Raw genomic sequence first — 25,027 nt, forward strand, 5'->3', positions numbered from 1 at the left:
TTGAGTCTTGCCATTTTCCAAAATATACAAGGAGTCATCTTATAGATGTATTAACTTATGAGAGCAATAGATGTCATCAAGCCTAAAAGCCAATCTATCAAGAAAATCTGAATGCTTTTAAGGGTTTACTCACCATGGATATAGAAGGAAACATTGTTCAAGTAACCAGGTAAGTGGGTGTTGATTCCAACATCATGGAAGATGAAATTAAATTAATTGAGAGCCATAGGGAAATATGGACAAGGAAAAATTAAAAATAATAATATAGGGCTGCATACATAAAACACATATGTACAGTATTGTACTTTATGGATGATTTAAGAGATTTTTCAGAGTTAATTTTGATTAGATGCAATCAGTACAATCTTTAGATCCTGAACACCAGGCTCCCTGCTCTTGCCCTCCTCTCTCTGGTCCTCTTCCATGGGGCAAGGAGTCCACCATGGGATTAAGGGGACAGGCCCACCCTAAGCCTAATACCACTCTCCAGAATCCTAGTACCCTAGAACTCCCTCCCAAGACAAGGCCTGTATGAGTTTCTTCTCCAGATACTTCTTCCTAAGGATGGATACTGGCTGTGATTGTAGCAGGAGATGTGGCTGGAGCTTGCCCTTGTGGGCTCAGGTGTCCACAGGTAAGCGTGAGCAGCCCCTCCTAGTGTGGGCTGGGGCGAGGAGTGGGAAGAGAATGGGAGCAGAGTCTTCCATTTGTCCTCTTGCCTCAGACCTCACTAATGTTAGTAGTCATCCTGAATGCAATGTTTACTGCTAACTAGTCATACTAACTAACTTTCTCAGTCCCATATAGGATATGATCCCATTAGATCTCAACTTCAACTATTATATCAACAATGGTGATAAATAATTAGTATTTTAAAAGATAAGCAAAAATAAGAAAATTGGTTGGGTACAGTGTCTCACGCCTGTAATCCCAGCACTTTGGGAGGCCAAGGCAGGCGGATCACTTGAGGTCGGGAGTTCAAGACCAGCCTGGCCAACAAGGTGAAACCCCATCTCTACCAAAAGTACAAAAATTAGCCAGGCGTGATGGTGCACACCTGTAGTCTCAGATACTTGGGAGGCTGAGGCAGGAGAATTGCTTGAACCCAAGAGGTGGAGGTTGCAGTGAGCCGAGGTCAGACCATTGCACACTCCAGCCTGGGCAACAGAGTAAGACTCCATCTCAAAAAAAAAAAAAAGAAAAGAAAGAAAGAAAGAAAACTAACTACACTCACATTTTGTTAACTTAAATAACCATGGTAACACCTCACAGATTTTTAAACACATATATTTGGAATATATGGTAAATATGTATGTAGTATATATTCATATTTTAAAAACAAAAATGATTGTATTACCATAAAACCTACTTTTTTCACTTAAAGTTATATCATGTACAACATTCTATGTCAGTAATACCCATCGAACACACTATTTTTGGTGACTAAATGGCATTCCATTATATAGATTCCTTAATGCACACATACTATTGTACTACACAGTACTAAGCTTTGACATATACATTGTTAAACATGGTGCATACAGTTTGAAGGGGGAAACAGGTATTAACCAAACAGGAAAAAATACCTGAGCATAATTTGTGATGAAATGTCGTAAAGGAAAAGAACAAAATACTATGAGAGAAAATAATAGAGGTACATAATGTAGTTGCGGAAAGATCTGTTTGAGGGAAATAAGTTTGGTCTTGAAGGATGACGAATTTGGCATGTAAAAAGCTGAGGAAGAACATTCTAGGCAGAGAGAACTGTATATTTGGGGCCAGGTGTAGTGGCTCACGCCTGTAATCTCAGCACTTTGGGAGGTCGAGGCGGGCAGATCACCTGAGGTCAGGAGTTCGAAACCAACCTGGCCAACATGGTGAAACCCCGTCTCTACTAAAAATACAAAAATTAGCCGGGCGTGATGGCGGGTGCCTGTAATCCCAGCTACTTGGGAGGCTGAGGCAAGAGAATCGCTTGAACCTGGGTGGCAGAGGTTGCAGTGAGCCGAGATCATGCCACTGCACTCCAGCCTGGGCGGCAGAGCAAGACTCTGTCAAAAAACAAACAAACAAACAAAAAACCCTGTATATTTGGGAGCCTTGAGGCAGAAAATTCTTACTGGAAAGATGGTCACTGGGACTCGTAATCAGCAAGGCTGGGACAGATGAAGCTGGAGAGCTTCCACGCCATGCAAGGTGTTTTGCATTTTCAATCTGTGTAAGTAACATGATCTGATTTATATCTTAGAAAGCTTACTCTGCCTGTTCTGTGTAGGAGAATGGGTTGGGGCTCTGATGTAAGATGAAAGACTAGTTAGATGAGTATTTCAGTAGTCCAAAGGAGATGATGGGGACATATAGGAGAATATTTGTGTAATTTGGCCTTTCTATATAAACCATTTAATACTTCAAAATAAAATCTCAAATTTTCTGGGCTATATAATGCATTACTAATTCCACTAGGTGGCAATGGCATAGTTGTGAAGCAACACTGGAGAATGTCCTGGGGTTACTCAGTGCACTGCATTATTTCTAAGGTTATATTTTTTCAATGTTTGACCCTTGATTTACATTGACATTTACATTCCCTTTAAGTTCCAAAAATGTAATATATTTTACAGTTCTTGTTTTAAAATTATAATTTCAATAACTCCCTTGACTGGGAGAATGTGAAGGTCTTTGCCCACACATTTTTGGTTCCCCACTATTTCTTTGCATCTACTTAAAAAATAACAATAATGAAATAATATCAATTGCTATTTCTTGAGCAGCTTTTAGGAGTGAGTTATCATGCTGAGTATTTATATACATTACCTCATTTACTCATGCAGAGTAGATGTATTTCTTCTCATTTATAGACAAGAAAACAGAGACTAGGGAAGATTGGTAATTTGCCCAAATATTATCTGCCAGAACCTGAATTCAAGCCCAGTCTCTATAAACAAATTATTAAGTGGATAAATTGGTAAATAAGCAAATAAATGAGTAAGTAAACAGGATGATTATACACAGGTGAATTGAATAAATTGCTCATTATAGATAAAATATTAGTTACAACCAAGTAAAAAATATAACCCAAAATATGCAAGCATGACAAAATAATATTCTCATGACCCAAAGGTAAAGACAAGATACATATTAAATAATTCCTATCTTCTGTTTTTCCTTTTCCTTTTTTTTTTTTTCCTCGAGACAAAATCTTGCTTTGTTGCCCAGGCTGGAGTACAGTGGTGCGATCATGGCTCCCTCCAACCTCCGCCTCCTAGGCTCAAGCAGTTCTCCCATCTCAGCCTCTGGAGTAGCTGGGACTACAGGCCCACCGCGCTCAGCTAATTTTTTGTATTTTTTAGTAGAGGCAGTGTTTCACCATGTTAGCCAGGCTAGTCTTGAACTCCTGAGCTCAAGCGATCTACTCGCCTTGGCCTCCCAAAGTGCTGAGATTAAAGGCGTGAGCCACTGCACCTGGCCTATCTTCTCTTTCCCTTAACATATTAGAATTTCCCAATGGTGTTAAAACTTCCTTGAAAGCAGGACCAAGTTATAATATTCTTTCATTTGAATGTACTATATTCTATTCAATAATTCTCCTATAATTGAATTCAGCAATTTCCTCTCAAAATTAAGGGATTATTAATAATGCTATAATGATCATCTTTGTATAGAAATATGATGTCTTTAACTTATTTTTTTATAGAGACAGAGGTCTCACTACGTTGCTCAGGCTGGTCTCAAACTCCTGGGCTCAAGCAAGTCTCCTGCCTCAGCCTCCCAAAATGCCAGGATTCAGGGGTGAGCCACTGCACCCGGCCTCAGAAATATGATTTTTAATAGTGGAAGTATATTCCCTTTTATTAAACTTTTATTTATAATCTTTTTATTATAGAGATATCTTTGCCACCCTGCTAATTCTTTCCTTTAGATAGACTTCTGGAAAGGGAATTACTACATCAAGTGGTGAAGGCACTCTATGAATGTTGATACATATTGCCAAATTGCTCTCCAGAAAGGCTCTACCAATCCTTTGTACTAAAGTCTATGAATGTCACCATTTTCCACATCCGGCAGATACTCATATCATCATTCTTATCACCCTTAATAATAACGGCAAAAGATGACAGCCCTTTGTTATTTTAATTTGTATTTTTTAGTAATTTATTAGTCCTTTATGTTTCCTCTTCCGTAAATTCTGTATTCATGTCCTTTGCCATTTTGTTATTGAGATGTCACCATTTTTCCTACTGTTGAATAAAAGATTTTTATGTATTAGGGATACTAGTACTTTTTCGGTCATATTAGTAGCAAATCTTTTTCCTTCTTTGTAGTTTGTCTTTTAATTTTGCTGGTGATAATTTTACCTATAATCTATACGATGTAAATTTTTGATAATTTCCTTAAGCCCCCAAATCAGTAAATTTATTGATAATTCCCTTACGCCCCCAAATCAGTTAAATAGTTACCTATATTTTCTATTTTTAAAAAATTATTTTCTTTTATAAATTAAGATACAATTTATATTCTATTTTTAATGGTTTCCTTTCACTTTTTATACTTATTAATAGCTAGAAATAATTTTGTGATATAATATGGAGTCAGGCCCATTTGTTATGCAATTTATTCCTTCCCCCATCAACTTGTGTGGATATTTTGTCACATGGAGTAGATCTATGATATTCTAAGAAGTATAGTTGTTCAGAGTTTAGACTCTGTGATCAACCACATCTGGGTTCAGATCCTAGCTCTGCCATCTTTTTGGTCCTGGGCAAGTTACTTAGCCCATCTAATTCTCAGTTTCCCCATCTGTAAAAGACTGATTGTTGGGAGGATTCCATTATCCTGAGTATGCAGAACAGTCAGCATGGGCTGTGCTACCTAGGAAACATTTAGTACAGTATGCATTCACTACTAGAATTATGACTATGATATCGATGAAGTTATTCATAACTTTTTTTTTTGAGATGGAGTCTCGTTCCCATTGCGCAGGCTGGAGGGCAGTGGCGCAATCTCGGCGCCCTACAGCCTCCGCCTCCTGGGTTTAAGCGATTCTCCTGCCTCACCCTCTGGAGTTGTAGTAGCTGGGACTACAGGCACGCGCCACCACGCCCAGCTAATTTTTGTATTTTTAGTAGAGTCAGGGTTTCACCATGTTGGCCAGGATGGTCTCGATCTCCTGACCTCGTGATCCGCCTGCCTTAGCCTCCCAGAGTGCTGGGATTACAGGCATGAGCCACCACACCCGGCCGGTTATTCATAACTTTAATAAATTCGGATATTCTTGAATGGTGCAGGAATACTCACTTCAAACTTTTAATGAGTTACTGGGCATATGGTCAAAAAATAAAACAAAGCTGCATTCACATCTCCACAGTGGCTGTTTCCTTGTCTCACTCACAGGTAAGTGATACGCTTCCACATCCACAGGGCACACAATTCGTATCTTGCCTTAAAAGGAAGAACTGAAAGGATATAAAACCAGATTATCTCAAAGGTTAGAGTGATTTAGGAGTAGGGCTTTTCTGTATTACTTTAATCTTTTTGGTTTGTTTTCGTTTTTGTTTTGAGACGAGGTCTGGCTCTGTCATCCAGGCTGGAGTGCAGTGGCACGATCACAGCTCACCGCAACCTCCGCCTTCTTGGCTCAAGCCATCCTCCCACCTCAGCCTCCCGAGTAGCTGGGACTACAAGTATGTGCCACCGTGCCTGGCTAATTTTTGAATTTTCTGTAGAGACAAGGTTTTGCCATGTTGTGCAGGCTGCTCTCAAACTCCTGGGCTCAAGCTATCCTCCTGCGTTGACCTCTCAAAGTGCTGAGATTATAGGCATGCACCACAACACCTGGCCCTTCTGTATTACCTTAATTTTTGACAGTAATTATGCCTACTGAGGGGAAAACAATAAAGATGTACCCTTGGAAAAAGTGCTTACCTCAATGAAGTTACAGATTAATCATCATCCAAGATTTAGAATTTATTGCAAATAGTAAAAACATTAACACTTAAATCTTCAAATACGGAGAAGCCTTTTAGGAACCATTTCAAGGTATGCAGAAATTTGGTGTGATCTCAATTTTATTTAAATCTTCTTTCATATTTCTTTATGCATGTGTATACCTTAATTATAGGTTGTAAAATTACAAGTATATATATATATTTTGAGACAGGGTCTCATTTTGTTGCTCAGGCTGGAGTGCAGTGGCATGATTACAGCTCACCACAGCTTTGACCCTTCCAGGCTCCTCCTGCCTCAGTGATCCTCCTGCCTCAGCCCCCTGAGTAGCTGGGACTACAGGCATGTGCCGCCAATGCCCGGCGAATTTTTAAATTTTTTGTAGAGACATGGTCCCTCTATGTCTCCAGCTCCTTGGCTCAAGCAATCCTCTTCCCTTGGCTTCCCCGTGCCTGAATTACAGGCATGAGCCACCACGCCTGGCCTAATTATAGTTCTTATGATGTGGAGCTCAATCATCTATTACTAAATTATTTCATAGTTATTTTCTTTCTCTTTTTTAAAAAATTAAGATATCATTAACATATCATAACACTGACCATTTTAAAGTGTTTACTTCATGGTTTTTGGCAAATGCACAAAGCTGTGCAACTAAGACCACCACGTGACTCTAGAACATTTCATTGGCCCAAAGAGAAACTCCATGCCTTTTAGCATTCAGTGCCTATTCCCCTCACCCAGCCCCTGGAAACCACTATTCTACTTTATTTTGCTGTGGATTTGCCTATTTTGGATTCACGTGAAAGAAATTATACAATATGTAGAATTATTTTTGTCAGCTTTTCACTTAGCATGTTTTCAAGTTTCAATAATGTTGTAGCATATACCAATATTTCATCTCTTTTTATGGCTGAATAATGTTCTGATGTGTGATATATTATATTTCGTTCATTTATTCATCAGTTAATGGATACTTAGGTTGGATTTGCACCTTTTCGCTATTCTGAATAATGCTGCTATGAGCATTCGTACACAAGTTTTTGTGCGGACATACGTTTTCAATTTTTTTGGTTATATACATAGGAGTGGAATTCCTAGGTCATATGGTAATCCTGTATTTAACTTTTTGAGGAATGCCAAATTGATTTACACAGCAGCTGCCCCATTTTACATTCCCACCAGCAATGTATGAGGGTTCCAATTTTTCTACATCCTCGACAAGTGTAAGTTTCCATCTTTTTGATTATAGACATCCAGTGAGTGTGAAGTTGTATCTCAGTGTGGTTTTGTTTTGCATTTTCCTTATGACTAATGATGTTAAGCACCTTTTCATACATTCATATGATGAAGTCAAATTATCTGTCTTTTCCTTGGTTGCTTGTTCTTTTGCTATCATGACCCAGAAATCATTGTTTAATCCAAGGTCATACATATTTAGCCTTAAGTTTATCTTCTGAGAGTTGTATAGTTTTAGCTCATACATTTAGGTCATTGATCTATTTTGAATTAATTTTTTATATGTCATATATGGAGTATATGTAGGTGTATATGTATGATATATTTGTAGATGTCCAACTTTCTTCTTTTGCATGTGGATATCCAGTTGTCCCATTTGGACAACAACTATTTTTTTCCAAATGAATGGTCTTGATATCGTGTCAATGTCCAAATCAATTGGCCATAGATATGTAGGTTTATTTCTAGATTTGCAATTCTATTCCATTGGTCTATAGGTCTTAGTTGAGCTCTTGATAAACACTGGCATGAGATGAGTATATTTCATTCTCTAACAAGTGCCTGGAGTATAGCTGAACACTAACTGGCCCATGCTGCTTACCTGTCAGCTGACGTGAGTAAGAGATTGACAGCCTCCTCTGAGACATGAGGATCATAAAAAGGGCATGCGCCTGAAAATAGTTTGTACCTCTGATCAGCTCCAAGAGTCTCCATAGAGACAAAAAGACAAATAAGGTCCAAATTCCAGTCCATATAGCTTGGCTAAAATAATCTGAAGCCTAGTAATTTTTAGGCGGGTATAACTCATACACCCATCTCAGCACCCTCAAAATCACCTGATAAATATTTATGGAGTCCCTGTTCTGTGCTGTGTACAACAAAGCAGCTTTAATTTGAGGATTTTATTTCCTGGCATTCTTCCAACAAACTACTTGCAGCAAAGTTGCCAAAGACAGTAAGCTGATTGTATGAAGGTATCATTATTTATTTATTCATTGAGACAGGGTCTCACTCTGTTGCCCAGGCTTTAGTGCAGTGGCGCAATCTTGGCTCACTGCAACCTCTGCTTCCTGGGTTCAGCAATTCTTGTGCCTCAGCTTCCTGAGTAACTGGGATTACAGGCATGCGCCAGCACTCCTGGCTAATTTTTTTATTTTTAGTAGAGACGGAGTTTCACCATTTTGGCCAGGCTCGTCTCGAGCTCCTGACCTCAAGTGATCTGCCCACCTCAGGCTCTCAAACCGTTGGGATTACAGGGGTGAGCCACAGCATCTGGCCTGAAGTTACCATTGTTATAGGCCAAAAACAGTTGAATGGTGGCTCTTATTTTTGAAAAGTTGATTTATAGCCCTTCTCTTTGTCAATAATTAGCCAGTAGGCCAATTGTCTCTTCAAGCCACTCCTTGCTAAAGGTAATACAACCTTATCATTTGTGTATAACGGAATGTTTGGTCCTTCTGTTTTGCTTTGTTGAAGGTAGGAGTGGCAAGATATCTGCAGGATTGCATTAAATTTATCCAAAATGATATTAGGTTAACATGCAAGTTGTAAAGAAGGGAAGCAGAGACAATTATTCCCTGGGCCTGGAAGCTTCATCCTTCTGCCTTTAGGGACCAAAGCTTTGTTGCCATATGGTCTGCCATAACAATCCAAGATTGATCCCTTTCTTCCTGTTTACTGGTGCCAGAGATCCTAGAATAGCAAGGTATAGTTTGTGTCTGGTAATGTTTAATCTTGATGACAGCTGGCACAAGAAACATAACCCTGAACCTTGGAACAAAGATGGTTTTCTGCTCAGTGCAAGTACTATTGCAGCGTTATTACAGCAAGCTCAGAAAGACAGCCAGACTTCTGAATTACATTATTCCTTTTTAAGTTGCTAAAATTGAGGCTGAGGCAGGAGAGTTGTTTGAGGCTTCCATTTGACACTGTAAAAAATAAGAACTTCAGTTCATCAAAAGACACCATTAAAAGAGAGAAAAGGCAAGCCACAGACTAAAAAAGGATATTTGCAAAGTACATATTTGGTAAAGGACTCCAAACTAAAATTTATAAAAACTTTTACAAATCGCCGGGCGTGGTGGCTTACTCCTGTAATCCTAGCACTTTGGGAGGCCGAAGCGGGGTGGATCACCTGAGGCCAGGAGTTCAAGACCAGCCTGGCCAACATGGAGAAACCCTGTCTCTACTAAAAATACAAAAATTAGCCGGGTATGGTAGTGTGCGCCTGTAATCCCAGCTACTCGGGAGGCTGAGGAAGGAGAATTGCTTGAACCCAGGAGGTGGAGGTTGCAGTGAGCCAAGATCGCACCACTGCACTCCAGTCTGCGCGATGGGAGCGAGACTCCATCTCAAACAAACAAACAAACAAACAAAAAACTTTCGCAAATCAGTAAGAAAAAGGCATCCCAAATGGATGAAAGATTTAAATGGGTACCCCACAAAAGGGGATAGCCAAAAGGATAGAGCATATGAAATGATGCTTAACATCTTCAGACACCATCCCCTACTCTGTACAGTCAGGCAACTGCCTTTTTTCATGCTCAGCAGACAGAAAGGTATTCTCTGAAGAAGTTAAGACAGATCTTAAGGGAGGAGCATCCAAAACAGAGGTATCATATTAAGTCAGGGGGATTAAGATACCGCACTCCCTCCCACTGCCCCTGCCACCCCACTCCCCCGCCGCCCCTGCTTCACCCCTCCACTGCCCAACCCATCTCCTAGAATTCTCACAACCAGGCCTTTACCCACCAAGCAGGAAACTGAAAAATATTCTCCAGGGAATCTGACCAGCCCAAAGGAAAATGCCTAAAGATGCTCACACAGGGGGTTCTCTAGCTAGAAAGTCCAATCAAGTCATTATACAATGAAGCATTTCAATGACAAGATCTACCCACGAATAAAAACTTCCAATTAATTTTAGTGCTGCTTTCTTAAATAAGAATTACCAGACCCTTGGGGAAAGTCTCTACCATGAAAGACAGACATCAAAACAAAGAGAAAGACAACAACAAAGCAACTTAGAGGAAACAGACTATAAGGTAGAAGAAAACTGTAAATTACTAAACTCAGATAATAGAGAGGATTGTAATAAAAAAACTAGTTTGCTATTTAGGCTGGTCGGTGGCTCATGCCTGTAATCCCAGCACTTTGGGAGGCCAAGGCGGACGGAACATTTGAGTTTAGGAGTTTGAGACCAGTTTAGCCAACATTGTGAAACCCCGTCTCTGTTAAATAAATACAAAAATTAGCTGGGCATGGTCATGCATGCCCGTAATCCCAGCTACTTGGGAGGCTGAGGGAGGAGAGTCATTTGAACCCCTGGAGACAGAGGTTGCAGTGAGCCGAGACTGCACCACTGCACTCCAGCCTGGGTGACAGAGCGAGACTCCATCTCAAAAAAAAAGGAAATAAAATAGTTTGCAATTTAAAAGAGGAAGATTCAGAGAACAAAAAAATTTAAAATAGAAAAAAGTGTAAAATTCATAGAAGGGTTGAAAGATGAATTTGAGGAAGACTCTTAGAAAGTAGGGCAAAAATAAGATGGAAAAGATAAAAGTAGAGATTCATTCCGGGGGATTCAATATCCATATAATAATTCCTTTACACCATACATTTATAGAAGGAAAACTTGTTTGGACCAGTTAATTAGATGTAGTCTTGGACTTTAAGATGGAGAAGGATGTTCTGGGCTCCCAAGGGATCTGACACAAACAGAAGATTCAGGAAGCTTTGAACTGAATCTTCCAGTCACTCATTGGATGAGCTAGATTATGCCGTGAGTTTTCATGTTCAAGGATAGTAGGAAAGACACAGCATCCAAGTGTAATGAAATCACATTTATCAGACTGTATACTTTAGTCTTAAGGGTTGCATTTAGCTTTTTAAATAATATTTTAAAATTTAAAAATAGGAAGAGATCCAGGCACAATGGCTCATGCCTATAATCCCAGCATTTTGGGATGCCAAGATAGGCGGATTGCTTGAGCCCAGGAGTTTAAGACCAGCCTAGGCAACCTGGTGTAATCCCATCTCTACAAAAAATACAAAAAATGTAACCAGGTGTGGTGGCACGGGCCTGTAGCCCCAGCTACTCAGAAGGCTGAGGTGGGAGGATCCATTGAGCCTGGGAGGTCAAGGCTGCAATGAGCTGTTATCATGCAACTGCACTGCAGCCTAGGCAACAAAGCAGGAGTCTGTTTCAAAAAACAAAACAAAACAAAAAAAAAAAAGGAGGAAAGCTGAATATAATATAGTCTCCTGGATAGGATTGTGGAACTGAAAAGGACATCAGAGAAAATTAATGAAATCTGAATAAAGTATGTGTTATGTCTGTGCCTAATTGAAGAGACTACCCAAACAGGCTAAGTGTGAGCAGCAAGGCTGTTGCAACAAGGCTGGGTGCAAGTGGGCTGAGTCCGAGAAAGGAGTCAGCAAAGAGTGTTGGGAGTGGAACTGGTTTTATAGGTTTGGGGTAGGTAATGGAAAGTTACAGTTAGGGGCTGTTTTTTGGACAGGGGAAGAATGTCACAAGGTGCATAGTCATGAGGTGGGGGGAGGTCACAAGGCACGATATCACAAGGTCGACTGATTAGTTAGGGCAGGGCAGGAACATATCACAATGGTGGAATGCTGCAAAGTTGGTTAATCAGTTAAGGCAGGAACTAGCTGTTTCTTTTTCTTTAGTGGTTCTCCTGTTGCTCCAGGCTTTGTGACTCCAGGAGGCCTGTATGTGTGGGTCAGAGGGGTCACAATGGCTCGACCATGGTGTAGCCTGTTGAGAGGACCTTACAGTATGGAGTTTAGCTAATAGCAGTGTACCAGTGTTGGTTCACTAGTTGTGACAAATATATCATAGTAATGTAAGATGTTAGCAATAGGGGAAACTAGGCATGAGGTAGATGGGAACTCTATATTATCTTTGCAACTTTTCTGTAAACCTAAAACTATTCTAAAATTAAAAAGTTTATTTGGCTGGGCGTGGTGGCTCACGCCTGTAATCTCAACACTTCGGGAGGCCAAGGCCTGCGGACCACCTGAGGTCAGGAGTTTGTGACCAGCCTGGCCAATATGGCAAAACCCCATCTCTACTGAAAATACAAAAATTGGCCTGGCATGGTGGTGTGCGCCTGTAATCCCAGCTACCCAGGAGGCTGAGGCAGAAGAATCGCTGGAACCCAGGCGGCAGAGGCTGCAGTGAGCTGAGATTGTGCCACTGCACCCCATCCTGGGTGAGAAAGCAAGACTCTATCTCAAAAACAGAAAACAAAAAAAAGTTTATTAAATAGAAAAATAGGAGGAAAGAACTTTTATCTTAACATCAGACAAATCACAACTTTGGCATAAGCCTAGTGACTAGGCCACATGATCATAACCAAGCAACAATCAGTCAGATGTCAGTCTAATCATAGGTCCTGTTATTTTCAGTAAAGGGGAAAAAATCATGAAAGTTGAAACTGCAAGTCAAAGTATGTAAAATCATAAAAATGGAGTAGCGTGTGGCATGGAGCTTCTATAGTCCCAGCTACCGAGGAGGCTGAAGTGGGAGGATTGCTTGAGCCCAGGAGTTTGAGGTTACAGTGAGCTATGATCATGCCACTGCACTCCGTTCGGGGTGACAGAGGAAGACCTTGTCTCAAATAAATAAATAAATAAAATGAAACTGGTAAGACAGCAAAGTTTAGGTGAGGTGTTGTGGAAAATAGGAAGCCATTGCTAATTTCTTGAGTGAGGAACTAATGTGGCGAAAGCAACAATTTAGGGATTTATTCTATCAGCAGCCTGCCAAATGGATTGAAGTTGGGAAAAATCTGAGGCCGGGGGATCAGCAATAAGTGGCACGTACTAAAATCTCAAGAATAAAACCCTAAAATGAAACTTTTGGTAAGGGTTTCAAGCAACGTTATTCTTAGTGCCACATGTGACCTGTTTTAAGCACCTGGAGACAAGCAGAGCCTCTTGTGGAGACAGATGTATCAGATCTTCACCTGACTTCATTTGATATCTGAATCATAGAACTATTTCATACCCCCTTCTTCCAAGTCCAAGCTCTCCTGGCATCTTGTGGTTAGGACTGTATCTCGTTACTTCTGCTTATCCTGCAGTGGCTCTGGGCTTGTTTGATAATCAAACTGAGCCGGCCCTTATTTTTAATTTTTAACCCATCCTAATGGGGCTTTTTTATTTGGAAATGATTTTAAACTTATAGAAATGCTGCAAGAATAAGAATGGTACATAGAACACCATGCTACATATTGTTACACCTCTGTTAAACATGTATTTTACCCCATATGCTCATCCATTCTCTCTCTATATCTATCTAGATCTCGATATCTATCTATAGATATATCTATATCTATATGTATAGATAGATATCTAGATATATCTAGCTATTGAGATCTAGATCTAGATATAGATGTCTATAGATATAGATATAACTAGCTATTGAGATCTAGATAGATAGTTGTCTAGATAAGTATCTAGACAGATTGATATAGATATATACAGAGAATATTAGGTCCATACTCTCTCTCTCTCTATATATATACACACACATATCTATTAGGTATATAGTATATACCTAATACTTTTGGATCACTTGAGAATAATGTATATACGTCATTGCCCTTTAGTCCTAAATACTTCAATGTGTATTTCCTAGGAATAAGAATATCCATTTAAAAGAATCATGTTATACTTCTTATCTTCAGTTCATTTACTTAGTCACTATTTCTTGAATTGAACCAAACTATTAGAACACCCATTATCCTGGTCTGATCTGACCCACTGCTAACGGAATTACAGGAGTGAAAAATTCAAAGTTTCATTTGCATTTCAGGTTTTGGTCTTTGAGAGTACCATAGAATCAAGTTTTGCAAATCAGCTTTGAATTTGACTCACCATGGGTTTGTTTGATTCAGTTCAACTGTTCTAAAAACCTCTTTGTCAAAGAACAATACTAATGCCAACAGTGGCAAACACTAATCTAGCCTTCCTTGATATGTGTCAGACAGTGTTTTAAGTACTTTGTATTTACCAATGCATTTAATCCTTACAACAACCTTAAGGAAACCATAATTATCTCAATTTTATACATTGGGAAATGTAGGCACAGATTTTAAATAACTTGTGCATGAATACACAGTTGATAAGGGGATCTCCCAGATATCTTTTTAAATTTGTTAATCTGTGTGTGTGTGTGTGTGTGTGTAGCCTTCTTACATTTCATAATGTTTTCTTTAAAGACGATCCCACACTATTTCTAGTTATTGATTACTTCTCATTGTGTCATGTTCCCCTAGGACAGAAGCATTCATTTTCTTGATGTGTTTTTTCAGCTGAAGAAAAGGTGACTGGTCTCATGAGCCCTGAAGAATGAACTCAGAGGAGGTTGTTTACATGAGGTTCTCCCACTCACCAGCTGTTGAGAGTCTGCGATTATGAAGAGCAGGATCTTATTACTTCAATGAAAGCATGTAACAAGTTTCTCAAACCACCAACAGCCAAGTGGATTTGGTACAGTGCGGCTGTCTAATAAATAATCAAAAGCATTTGATAGAAATCTGTCTTGCAGCACTGTCTTCACATTTAATGTTGCTTTCTCTTCTAGTCTCGGGTATGTTTAAATGATTCCCTTTTCTCACTCTAGCGCCAATACTGGCCTGAAGGCTAGATCCCCAGCGAAATTCTTGTTCAGGCTGGGTCTGTCGACTTTGACTCTGCTATTTATAGAGCCAATGTGGGTTAATAACTACTATTTATTGAGTGCCCGTTCCATGCCAAGCATTAGGCTGGGTGCTTTACATAAGTTTAATCCTCACAATAGCCCTGTAAGGTTGCACCTATTATCTCCACTTTGACCACGAAGAAACGGAGACTCAGAGAGTTTGTATCCTATGTGTAAGATCACACAGTTGTCAGAGTCAGGATTCAAATCTAGTTCTAACTCCAAAGCTCTCCACACTAACATTGTTTTGCTTATTATTGCTCCAAAGATAATTACCCCAACACCTTATCAATGCTATACTTCCTCTCATAATGGCAGTGTAGGTATGTGGGAAGTGTCTGAGATGGAGGACCAGGGAGTCTTTAGAGGCGCAAAAGAATCACAGAATTATCTTCTAAAAAAAAACACAATATTCTTTGAGATCAGGAGTTGATAAAATATGGCCCCCAGCTATTTTTGTAAATAAAGGTTTATTGGGAACACAGCCACACCCAATCCTTCAGGTCTATGGCTGCTTCTGCCCTACAGTGATTGAGTTGCATAGTTGTGACGGATTCCATATGGCCCCCAAAGCTTAAAATGTTGACTATTTGGCCCTTTCACAAAAAGTGTGCCAACCTCTGTTTTAGATGACTTTGGAAGAAAGTCAACCATCTTCATTCAGGCCAATGTATTATTTTTTCCATTTGGCTGCAAAAGTACTTAAAGATTGATAATGCTAAGGTAACTACTGTATTCTAATGGTGGTGGTGGTGGTGGTGGTGGTGGTGGTGGTGGTGGTGGTGGTGGTGATGGAGTGGGAGGTGAGGGGGGCTGTAGGGATCTAACCAGGAAAGGGAAGGGGCAGGGAATAGGAGAGGTCTGGGCCTCTGGATCAGCAGTCAACTCCTCACCCCAGACTCCTCCCACTCATGTCCTTCCTATTTCTCCTGCCAAATCAACTGTCCTAAAATAACTCATTGCTCATAAACATGCAAGTGGCTTCCCCCACACAACATGCTCAGAAACCAACACCTTGGCCTGGAATTCAGAGACCATTACAGTTTGACCCCTACTAATCTCTCTCTCCACCCACTTTTTCCCTTTTCCTTTTTTTCATCATGAGGAAATCATGCCAAATTTGAGTTTATATATCAAAGCCAATTTGCTTGTCTTTGATTCACTTTTATGTAGCAGAAAAATAAACATATACTACTTGTAGGTGTTTGTTTTAGTCCTTTTTGGTGGCTGTAACAAAATACCACAGACTGGGTGGCTTACAAAAAACAGAAATTTATTTCTCACAGGTCTGGAGGCTGGGAAGTTCAAGATCAAGGTGCTGGCAGATTCAGCGTCTTGTGAAGGGCTGCCTCCTGGTTCACAGATGGAACCTTCTCACTTCATGCATCCCCACCTGATGGAAGGACTGAGGGATTTCTCTAAGGACTCTTCCATTCATGCCATTCATGAGGGCTCTGCCTCTGACCTAATCACTTCCCAAAGGCCCCACTTCCTATTATTATCATCTTGGGGGTTAAGATTTCAACAGATGGATTTTGTGGAGACCCAAACATTTGAACCAAAACAGTGTTGTAGCCAGGCGCGGTGGCTCACACCTGTAATCTCAGCATTTTGGGAGGCTGAGGTGGGCAGATCACTTGAAGTCAGGAGTTCAAGACCATCCCGGCCAATATGGTGAAACCCTGTCTCTACTAAAAATACAAAAATTAGCTGGGTATGGTGGTGGGTGCCTGTATTCCTAGCTACTCAGGAGGATGAGGCAGGAGAATCACTTGAACCTGGGAGCCAGAGGTTGCAGTGAGCCAAGATCGCACCATTGCACCCCAACCCTGAGCGACAGAGAAAGACTCCATCTCAAAAGAAAAACAAAAACAACACAAAAAAAAAACAGTTTGTATTTGATCACAGGAAGCCAGGCTGAGCTTTCATATATGATGTCACTTCACCTGAGCTAAAAGGTATAAACAAAATAAAAACTTATAAATGCACTGGTTACTTTTCTATAGTAGGCATTATCCAATTGTATTTAGAAAAATTATTCCAGCTATTTTTTGGCCGGGTGCGGTGGCTCACACCTGTAATCCCAGCACTTTGGGAGGCCGAGTTGGGCAAATCATGAGGTCGGCAGTTCAAGACCAGCCTGGCCAACATCGTGAAACCCTGTCTCTACTAAAAATACAAAAAAAATTAGCCAGGCATGGTGGCAGGCACCTGTAATCCCAGCTACTCGGGAGGCTGAGGCAGGAGAATTGCTTGAAACTGCAAGGCGGAGGTTGCAGTGAGCCAAGACCACACCATTGCACTCCAGCCTGGGTGACAGAGCGAGATTCTGTCTCAAAAAAGAAAAAAGAAAAAGAAAAAGAAAAATTATTCTAGCTATTTAAAAAATTTGTAATATTATAAACTCTCTCACTGCTATGTATTTTTCTTAAAGATACTTTTCATGGCTGTAGAACATTTCATCTCCTGTATGTTCTAAAGTCCTCCTAATGCTTCCCCAATATTTGGGCACTGAAAGTTGCACTTTCCACTCATTTCATCGCCTACCTCCATTTCTTGGGATTGTTTTTCCATTGTTGCCCATCTTTGCTCAGGCTGTTTCTTTGGCTTGGAAAGGATCCAATCTTCCCTTTCTATCTCCTTGTCTTAAGTCCTTCCCTTCTAGCATAAGTCCTATCACCTTTCTCCCTCAAACTCTTTGTTATGGAAAAGTACAGATTGACCTTCATAATGAAGGATGGATTTCAAGAGGCTTATTTTCCCCGGAAGTGCTGACACAGTACCATCTTCACCAGCAGCAATGGCATTGCAGTACCAAAGGGCTCACAGACACTACTATTTCCTGGTGCTGTGCTTAGAACAACAGTTTGTTTTAGAAAATGATGATAGCTCACATATATTATGTATTTTCTATATGTCTGCCATTATTCTAAGCATCTTATATACATTAAGTCATTTATCTTCATAACAAACCTATCAAGTGGATATTGTTAACACTCTTATTTTAGAAATGAGAAAATTGAGGTACAGAAAGGATAAGAAATTGCCCAAAGACACAACTGGCAAGACTTAGGATTTGAATTCAGACAGTCTGGCACCAGAGTCTGGGTGCTTAGCCAATGAAATAGAAGTGCAGTGAATTTGCGATGGCTCTTTATCTCCCTAGTCTCAACACAGCCCTTAACATTTTCAGAGTATATGCAGAGGGATAGGGGCTGCTGAGCAGTGTTCTTCCTAGGAACATTGAGTCTATTCCTCTGTGTTAGAGAAACCTGGCTGGGGGCCACCATGCTTTCACAATGAGGAGATTGGTAGGCAGATAAATTTGCTTTGTCCTTGATCATTCTCTGAATATGACGAGTTCAGAGGCACAACCAGAGCCATGGGAGGGTAGATGGAAAGCACTTGTGCCTTCTAGGCCTTAATCATCTCAGTGTCCCTAGTGCCAGCATAAAGTAGGCCATTACACATGGAGAAGGTGTTGTGACACAATCACATCATAATGGCTAGGGTTAAATTAACTATCCCTCCCAGGCCTTCTCCCAGGAAGAAGTGGGGCTTCTTGCAATGGACCACATGGGAGTGACGGTGGGGAGAGGAGATTCAGAGAGCCTTCCAAACGTGAGTATAATTACAAAACTGAGTCAGAAAGGGAATGAATGGTTTTGCCCTCCAGTTTAGAGAATGATGTAACCTCACAGTTCAGGAAGATGTTAAAAGTTATCTCTGCTAGGCACGGTGGCTCACACCTGTAATCTCAGCAGTTTGGGAGGCCAAGGTGGGCAGATTGCTTGAGCTCAAGAGTTTCAGACCAGCCTGGACAATATGGTGAAATCCCATCTCTACAAAACATAAAAAAAAAAAAAAAATTAGCTGGGCATGGTGGCACGTGCCTGTGGTCCCAGCTACTCGGCAGGCTGAGGTGCGAGGATGGCTTGAGCCTGGGAGGCGGAGGTTGCAGTGAGCCGAGATTGCACCATTGCACTCCAGCCTGGGTGACAGAGCCAGACCCTGTCTCAAAGAAAAAAAAAAAAAGTTATTTCTACCAGGTACCCTTCCAGTGCCTGAATCCCCCTATGAATGCTCTGCTAAGCAAATGTCCAGCCCCTGCTTATATACCTGCACTAATGGGGATCTCACTACCAAACAGTCTATTCCAGCTCTCTATGGCTCTGTTAGAAAGTTGGACATTTTGTTGAATGGAAATCCATCTTCCTGTAGCTTCCACCAATTGGGTCTAATTATACCTATGGGATGCTAGAGAACAAGTTAGCTTCATCTTCCATACAATAGCCCTAAAGAAATTTGAAGGCAATGATCATATCCACTCTGAGTTTTTCCTTTCAGGCTAAATACTCACAGTTGCTTTAGTTGTGTCTCTTCTCACATGGTTTCACTAGTCAGGTTTGTGTCCACTGACTGCTTACCACTTGGCTTAGAGCTCTTCAAGTAGAGAGCGCCAGCCCACATCAGGGCAGAACCATTCTTTCCGTCTGTATTAGTCTGTTCTCATGCCGTTGATAAAGACATACTCGAGACTGGGTAATTTATAACGAAAAAGAGGTTTAATGGACTCACAGTTCCATGTGGCTGCAGAGGCCTCACAATCATGGCCGAAGGCGAAAGGCACATCCTACATTGGCAGCAGATGAAAGACAGCTTTCATCTGCAGGGAAACTCATTTTCATAAAACCATCAGCTCTCGTGAGGCTTATTCACTATCATGAGAACAACACAGAAAAGAACTGCCCCCATGATTCAATTACCTCCCACCAGATTCCTCCCACAACACATGGGAATTGTGGGAGCTGCAGTTCAAGATGAGATTTGGGTGGGGATGCAGCCAAACCATATCACCCTCCTGGGCAGACTCTGTCTATAATGAGTGCCCAGGATCAGAAATTTTTGCTTTGACTTCCAAGGGGTTGCAGGGATTTTGGGTGACTTTGGATTTTACTCAGAAAAGGGCAGGAAAAACAAGACCGGGCATGGTGGCTCATGCCTATATTCCCAGCACTTTGGGAGGCCAAGGTGGGAGGACTGCTTGAGGCCAGGAGTTCAAGACCATCCTGACCAACACAGCAAGACCATGTCTCTGTTAAAAAAAAATCAGAATTAGGTTTCTATGGTTGGGAAGAGATAGCTAATATTTTTTGAATGCTCACTACATGCCAGACACTGTGCTCAAAATTTAATATGAATTATATGATTTACCACTCAACAACCCTTATAGGTGCTACTTTTATGATCTCTATTTCACAGCTAAAGAAACTGAGGCTTAGAGAGCCTTGGAGTCTTCCCAGGCTGGGTGGCAAATGCTAAGACTCAGGCCAGATATAGTAGCAGGGAGCAACGGGCAAAGATTTTGGGCTTCAACAAAGGGCAGCATTTGACTAGTGATTATACTCCAGAAAAAACAGGTATAACAGGGAAAGGGGGAGTTGTGGTGAGAATAGGTCTTTTAAGGCCCCAAAGATCCAGAAGGAAAAAGAGCTGTGCAAGGGTAAAACAGAAGGACATTATGAGTAAGAGAGTAATTATTAGTAACAGCTACTACTTGTTAAATAATACTAGCCAGCATTTGACCTACATAATCCCCTTTAATCCTCACAGCAACCCTAAAAGGGAATTACTACTATTCTGATCGGTATGTTACAGACGAGGAAATTGAGGTTTAGCAAGGTAAGTGACTCACTGAAGGCTACGTTGCTGGTAAGCAGCAGCATCTGGATTTAAATTCACACTGCTGACTCCATGCTGATGGCCCTATACTGACTCCCAAAGGGATAGACTGCTGGCAACACTGAAAGGAAGGAAATTTCTCTCCTAAGAGATGGGGGAATTTCAGAATATACGAGGTAGCCCAGGGCTGCAGGCAATACCTGGCACCACTCAGAGAGGATACAGAACCTGGTTCTGGGAGAGACAGTTTTGCCAGACTCTCTACATCAGCCTTTCTATGAGGCTATCCTAACTTGAGGTTTCCTCAGAAAGAGGTTCCTGGAGGCCCAGAGACCTCAAGAGGATAAATGTCTATGACTAGATAGGCTTTTTAAGAACCAGAAACCTAGGTTTTGAACTGATATTTTTATGCCTCTGTAGTCCTCTCCCCGACCCCTTTTTTTGTAAACAATTTGCTTTCTCGCAGTTCAATGGCTCTCAAGCTTAGAGTTCATCAGAATCACCTAGAGGAAATGCTAAAACACAGATTTTTGGATTCTACTCCAAGAGTTCCTGATTCAGTAGATCCAGGGATAAGGCTGGACAATTTGTACTTCATAGAAGTTATGAGGTGATGTGGATTCAGCTGGTCCAGGGATCACATTTAAGAAAAATGCTTTATTTTATTTGTAAAACTACTTTTGAAAATTTCTAAATGGATTTGGCTGTGAAAAAATAAGTACAGAAAAGGCAAAGGACTTGCCTATAGGCCAGAGGTACTGGGAGGGATTGGGTGGGAGACTTAGAGCCCAGCTCGGTACGTGGCTGTGATGGGAGAACTTGTACAAACTGGGGAAGACAGAAGTCACAGTCAGAAGGAACTAGCTGTTTCCCAGATGGGAACGAGGGGAAGCAAAAGGCCCAGGATGAGCTGGGCAGGAGAGCCAGACTGGCCAGAGACAGAGATCAGGTGAGGGCAGAAGCCAAATGGGGTAGAGATGTTGTCAAAAGCTGCAGTCTGCTGGCTGGGCTACAGGGAAAGAACTTGGGAAGCTGGAGGCAAGGAGCCAGGAGTGAGCTCCTGGGGTGTGGACTGTGACAGAGTCTGGTGATCACATTTCAGCTGCAACTCACTGTCCCCAAAAGCCTCTTTCTTCTTTCTCTGGTGGTGCCTGTCAGTCATAAAGTGCCTAGGAATTGCCCTCAGACAGTAATGAGGTTAAGTCCTTGCAGCAAGAGAAGTGGGGACATCGCCAAGCCCTGTCTCCTCTGCTTAGTCGTGGGTCCCATAGTGGCAAGCAGGGGCAGAGCCAGGAAGCACGCAGTCTGGTGAGTAGACTTTAGATGTTCTCCAATCGCCAGGCTATTTCTCCCTCATGGGAAACTGACTCAACTGCAGTACACAGTGTGAAGGAACGACCTTTGTGGCTGCAGCAGTGGGCTAATGGCTTGGCGCCTGGCTGCACTTGTTATTCCTCACGGAGTTGGGAAAGGTTGAATAAGAGGCTCTCTTCCCTTGGTACTAAGAGATGGGCATCTCTTTGAAGGACTGCATGCCACTACTCCTTTCAGCTGGCACACATAGGCCCACCCTGGACCCTGGCTCTCTAAGCACTACCCACCCAGCCTTAGCCAAGCTCTTCTTTTCCCTTTTGTAACTTTCATTTCATTTCTTGTACATCTCTGTCCAGTTAAAAAAGGATGTATTAAGTGCATACTATGTGGCAGACTCTGAGCTGGGGATACAGATATGGGGTAAAAGAAATTCAGCCCTCAAAAAAAAAATCACAGTACAGTCAGGGGGATCCATGTGGAGATGTAATGACAACATTGTAGAATAAATGCTGTTTCTCAAACACAGAGCTCCTTCTCTCCACAAGGCCTTTGTATTTGTTGTTCCTACTTTCTAGAATGTTCTTCCCTAGATCCTTGTACAATTCCTCTTCTCACTTTATACTCAGGTCATTTCCAAGAGAGATCTTCCCTGACATTTCTATGAAAAATTAAACCCTCCCAATTCTCTGAATCCATTTGCCTTATTTATTTATTTAGGAGCTGGGGTCTCACCCTGTTGCCCAGGCTGGAGTGCAGTGGTGTGATCTAGGCTCACTGCAACCTCTGCCTCCAGGACTCAAGTGATCCTCCCGCTTCAGCCTCCTGATTGGCTCTGGCTACAGGCTTGCAGCACCACGTCTGGCTAATTTTTTTTTTTTTAATTTCTGTAGAGATGGGGTTTTGCCATGTTGCCCAGGCTGGTCTCGAACTCCTGGACTCAAGTGATCCACTCATTGGGCCTCCCAAAGTGTTGGGATTACAGGTGTGAGCCACCATGCCTGGCCTAAGTTTTAATTTTAGCACCTATAACCGTCTAGCACGTTAACTTTTTTTTTTTTTTTGGTTGGTCTTCTATACTAGATTGTAAGCTCTGTGAGAGAAACAGGGCCTTGCCCACTACTGAATTTTGTTTGTAGAACTGGTACAGAATAGGTACTCAATATGTATTTCCCTTTTATTCATTCATCATAAATGACTGTCTAATTGAACTTTTGTGAGCCTCTCCAGAGTCATCCAAATGGAAGATGAGGCCTGTCTGCTTGAGGAAGAACTTTCTCAAGCCTACTAAATTCCAAGCTTTCTAAAATCTTCATTGATGCCTCAGGCCACACCGAGCAGGTTCTAACTCCCCACTAAGAATGACTATAATGGGCCTGGCACATGCCCTGTAACCCACACCTGTAATCCTAGCAATTTGGGAGGCTGAGGTGGGCGGACTGCCTGAGCTTAGGAGTTCGAGACCATCCTAAGCAACATGGCTAGAACCAGTCTCCGCTAAAAGTACAAAAAATTAGCCAGGTGTGGTGGGGGCGCCTGTAATCCCAGCTACTCATGAGGCTGAGGCACGAGAATTCCTGGAACCCGGGAGGCAGAGGTTGCAGTGAGCCAAGATGGCACCACTGCACTCCAGCCTCGGTGACAGACCGAGACTCCATCTCCAAAAAAAAAAAAAAAAAAAAAAAAAGAGAATGACTATAATTTATTCACTACTAATTATGTACCATACGTTATTTAATCCTCACAATCCTCTGCAAAGTCCGCATTATTTCTCTCATTTTACAGATGAAACAAGCTCAGGCAGACTGACTTGCTCAAAATCATACAGGTAGCGAGGTGCCGGGGAGGATGGGTGGGTCCCCGGGAAAAACTGTGCCAGGCCCCAAAGCTCATATTAATCCCACACCCACGTTTCCGCCACTCTCATCCCTATATCCCTCCTCCCACGTTTCCACCACATCCCCTAAAGGTCTTTTCCCACGTTTTCGCTACATCCCCACCCCAGCCCTTTTCCTCCCTTTGGACCGCTGGGTCCGCTCAAGCCTGGCTGCCCCTCGAAGGATAGTGTGGGGAGGGGCTTCAGATGCGTGCTGGGTGGAGGGTGGGCTAATCCGTCTCCAGCACCAGATACTCTTTCCTTCCCGGGCCCTCCGCACCGGCCGGCTGCTGGATGCCCAGTGGCCTATTTCAGGGCCGGAGAGACCGCTATCGCTGGAGGAAAAAGGATGGGGGAAGGGAGTGCAGCCTGCAGAGGCACTAGCGGTAGACAGACGGGCGGCGCTCCCCACCCTCCACGGCTACTTCCCGGGAGCAGTCAGCCGCTGCGCGCAGGCGCGGTGCGCTCCTCAGCCCCTCCCTTCTGCGGGCCGCCCTTTCACCCTGGCAACCGCGGCGTGACTACGGCGCGCGCGGTCTGGGCGCGGACGGGTGGGGCCGGGCGGTGCCGGTGCGGGCTGGGGCAGTGCAGTGAGTAGCGGTCTTGGGGTGTGCGATCTCGCTGAGCCTCCTCACACGGTTCGTCGTCTCGGGTTCGAGCCCAGTGGGCTTAGCCACTCGCCATGGACTCCCAGAAAGTAAGCGGGGGAGGGGAGCCCGGGGCTACCGAGACAAGCCGGGCCGGCACAGGGTGGGCGGGGCGCCTGGGCCCGTGGGCTGTGGGTGCGCGGGGTGGGCCTGGCCGGGCGTCCGGGCTGCTGCTGCGGAGGGCAAGGCCGCCCGGCCGCTCTCTGGGCGGGAGCTAAGAGGCGCCCACACGGATGCGGGGACCGCGCCCGGTGACTCGGGCTGGCCTCTGCTCTGCGCGCTGTCCGGGGCCCTGACTCTGGAGGAGAAACGGAGCCATCCCCCTTTTAAAATCAGCCACTCTGCAGCGCTTTAGGCCGGTTTTCATGCCTGCAGACTGCGAGCGTGCTGGTGGGGGTGTATCCCTCCTCAGCAGGTGAGGAAACCGAGGCACAGCCTTTTTGGTGTCTCCCTGCTGACGCCGAAAGCTGGGGCTTTCTCCTCGACCAAGTCTCGTCTCAGCACCACGCTCTTTAGGTCAGGGACCGAATCTCCTTTGTACCGCCCACCGCTCCCCTTCCCATGACTTTTCCTAAGTAGATCTTAGTGTTTAGTGTTCGTTGAATG

The 25,027-nt window shown here is 42.7% G+C and overlaps 2 protein-coding genes across 16 annotated transcripts in view, besides 1 other annotated feature; both read left to right on the plus strand.

Annotated features, from left to right (window-relative positions):
• SLC44A1 (solute carrier family 44 member 1) overlaps positions 1-14,740 on the plus strand; it is a 193,854-nt gene extending 179,114 nt beyond the window's left edge. For both annotated transcript variants that reach the window (NM_001330731.2, XM_006717029.4), the window contains exon 16: positions 14,517-14,740. In NM_001330731.2, coding sequence (NP_001317660.1) covers positions 14,517-14,531 — 15 coding nt within the window. In that variant the 3' untranslated portion in view covers positions 14,532-14,740. The remainder of the gene's footprint in view (positions 1-14,516) is intronic.
• A 3,672-nt stretch (positions 14,741-18,412) lies between these two features.
• The window catches only part of FSD1L (fibronectin type III and SPRY domain containing 1 like), a 110,257-nt gene continuing 103,642 nt past the window's right edge, over positions 18,413-25,027 (plus strand). For 10 of the 14 annotated variants that reach the window (XM_005252254.3, NM_001145313.3, XM_017015182.2 and 7 more), the window contains exon 1: positions 24,270-24,471. In XM_005252254.3, coding sequence (XP_005252311.1) covers positions 24,457-24,471 — 15 coding nt within the window. In that variant the 5' untranslated portion in view covers positions 24,270-24,456. Of the gene's footprint in view, positions 18,527-20,518; positions 20,588-24,269; positions 24,472-25,027 lie in introns of those variants that run through there. The other 4 variants (XM_011519077.3, XM_017015185.2, XM_011519079.3 and 1 more) reach the window with 4 other exon arrangements.
• Positions 24,151-24,760: a silencer, noted in NCBI's record as "silent region_20153". NCBI's record gives its function as "represses an Ori minimal core promoter by ATAC-STARR-seq in GM12878 lymphoblastoid cells {active_cell/tissue: GM12878}" and the evidence as "EXISTENCE:reporter gene assay evidence [ECO:0000049][PMID:35858748]".

This window comes from Homo sapiens, chromosome 9 (assembly GCF_000001405.40).
Source record: "Homo sapiens chromosome 9, GRCh38.p14 Primary Assembly".
Taxonomy (NCBI): Eukaryota; Metazoa; Chordata; class Mammalia; order Primates; family Hominidae; genus Homo; species Homo sapiens.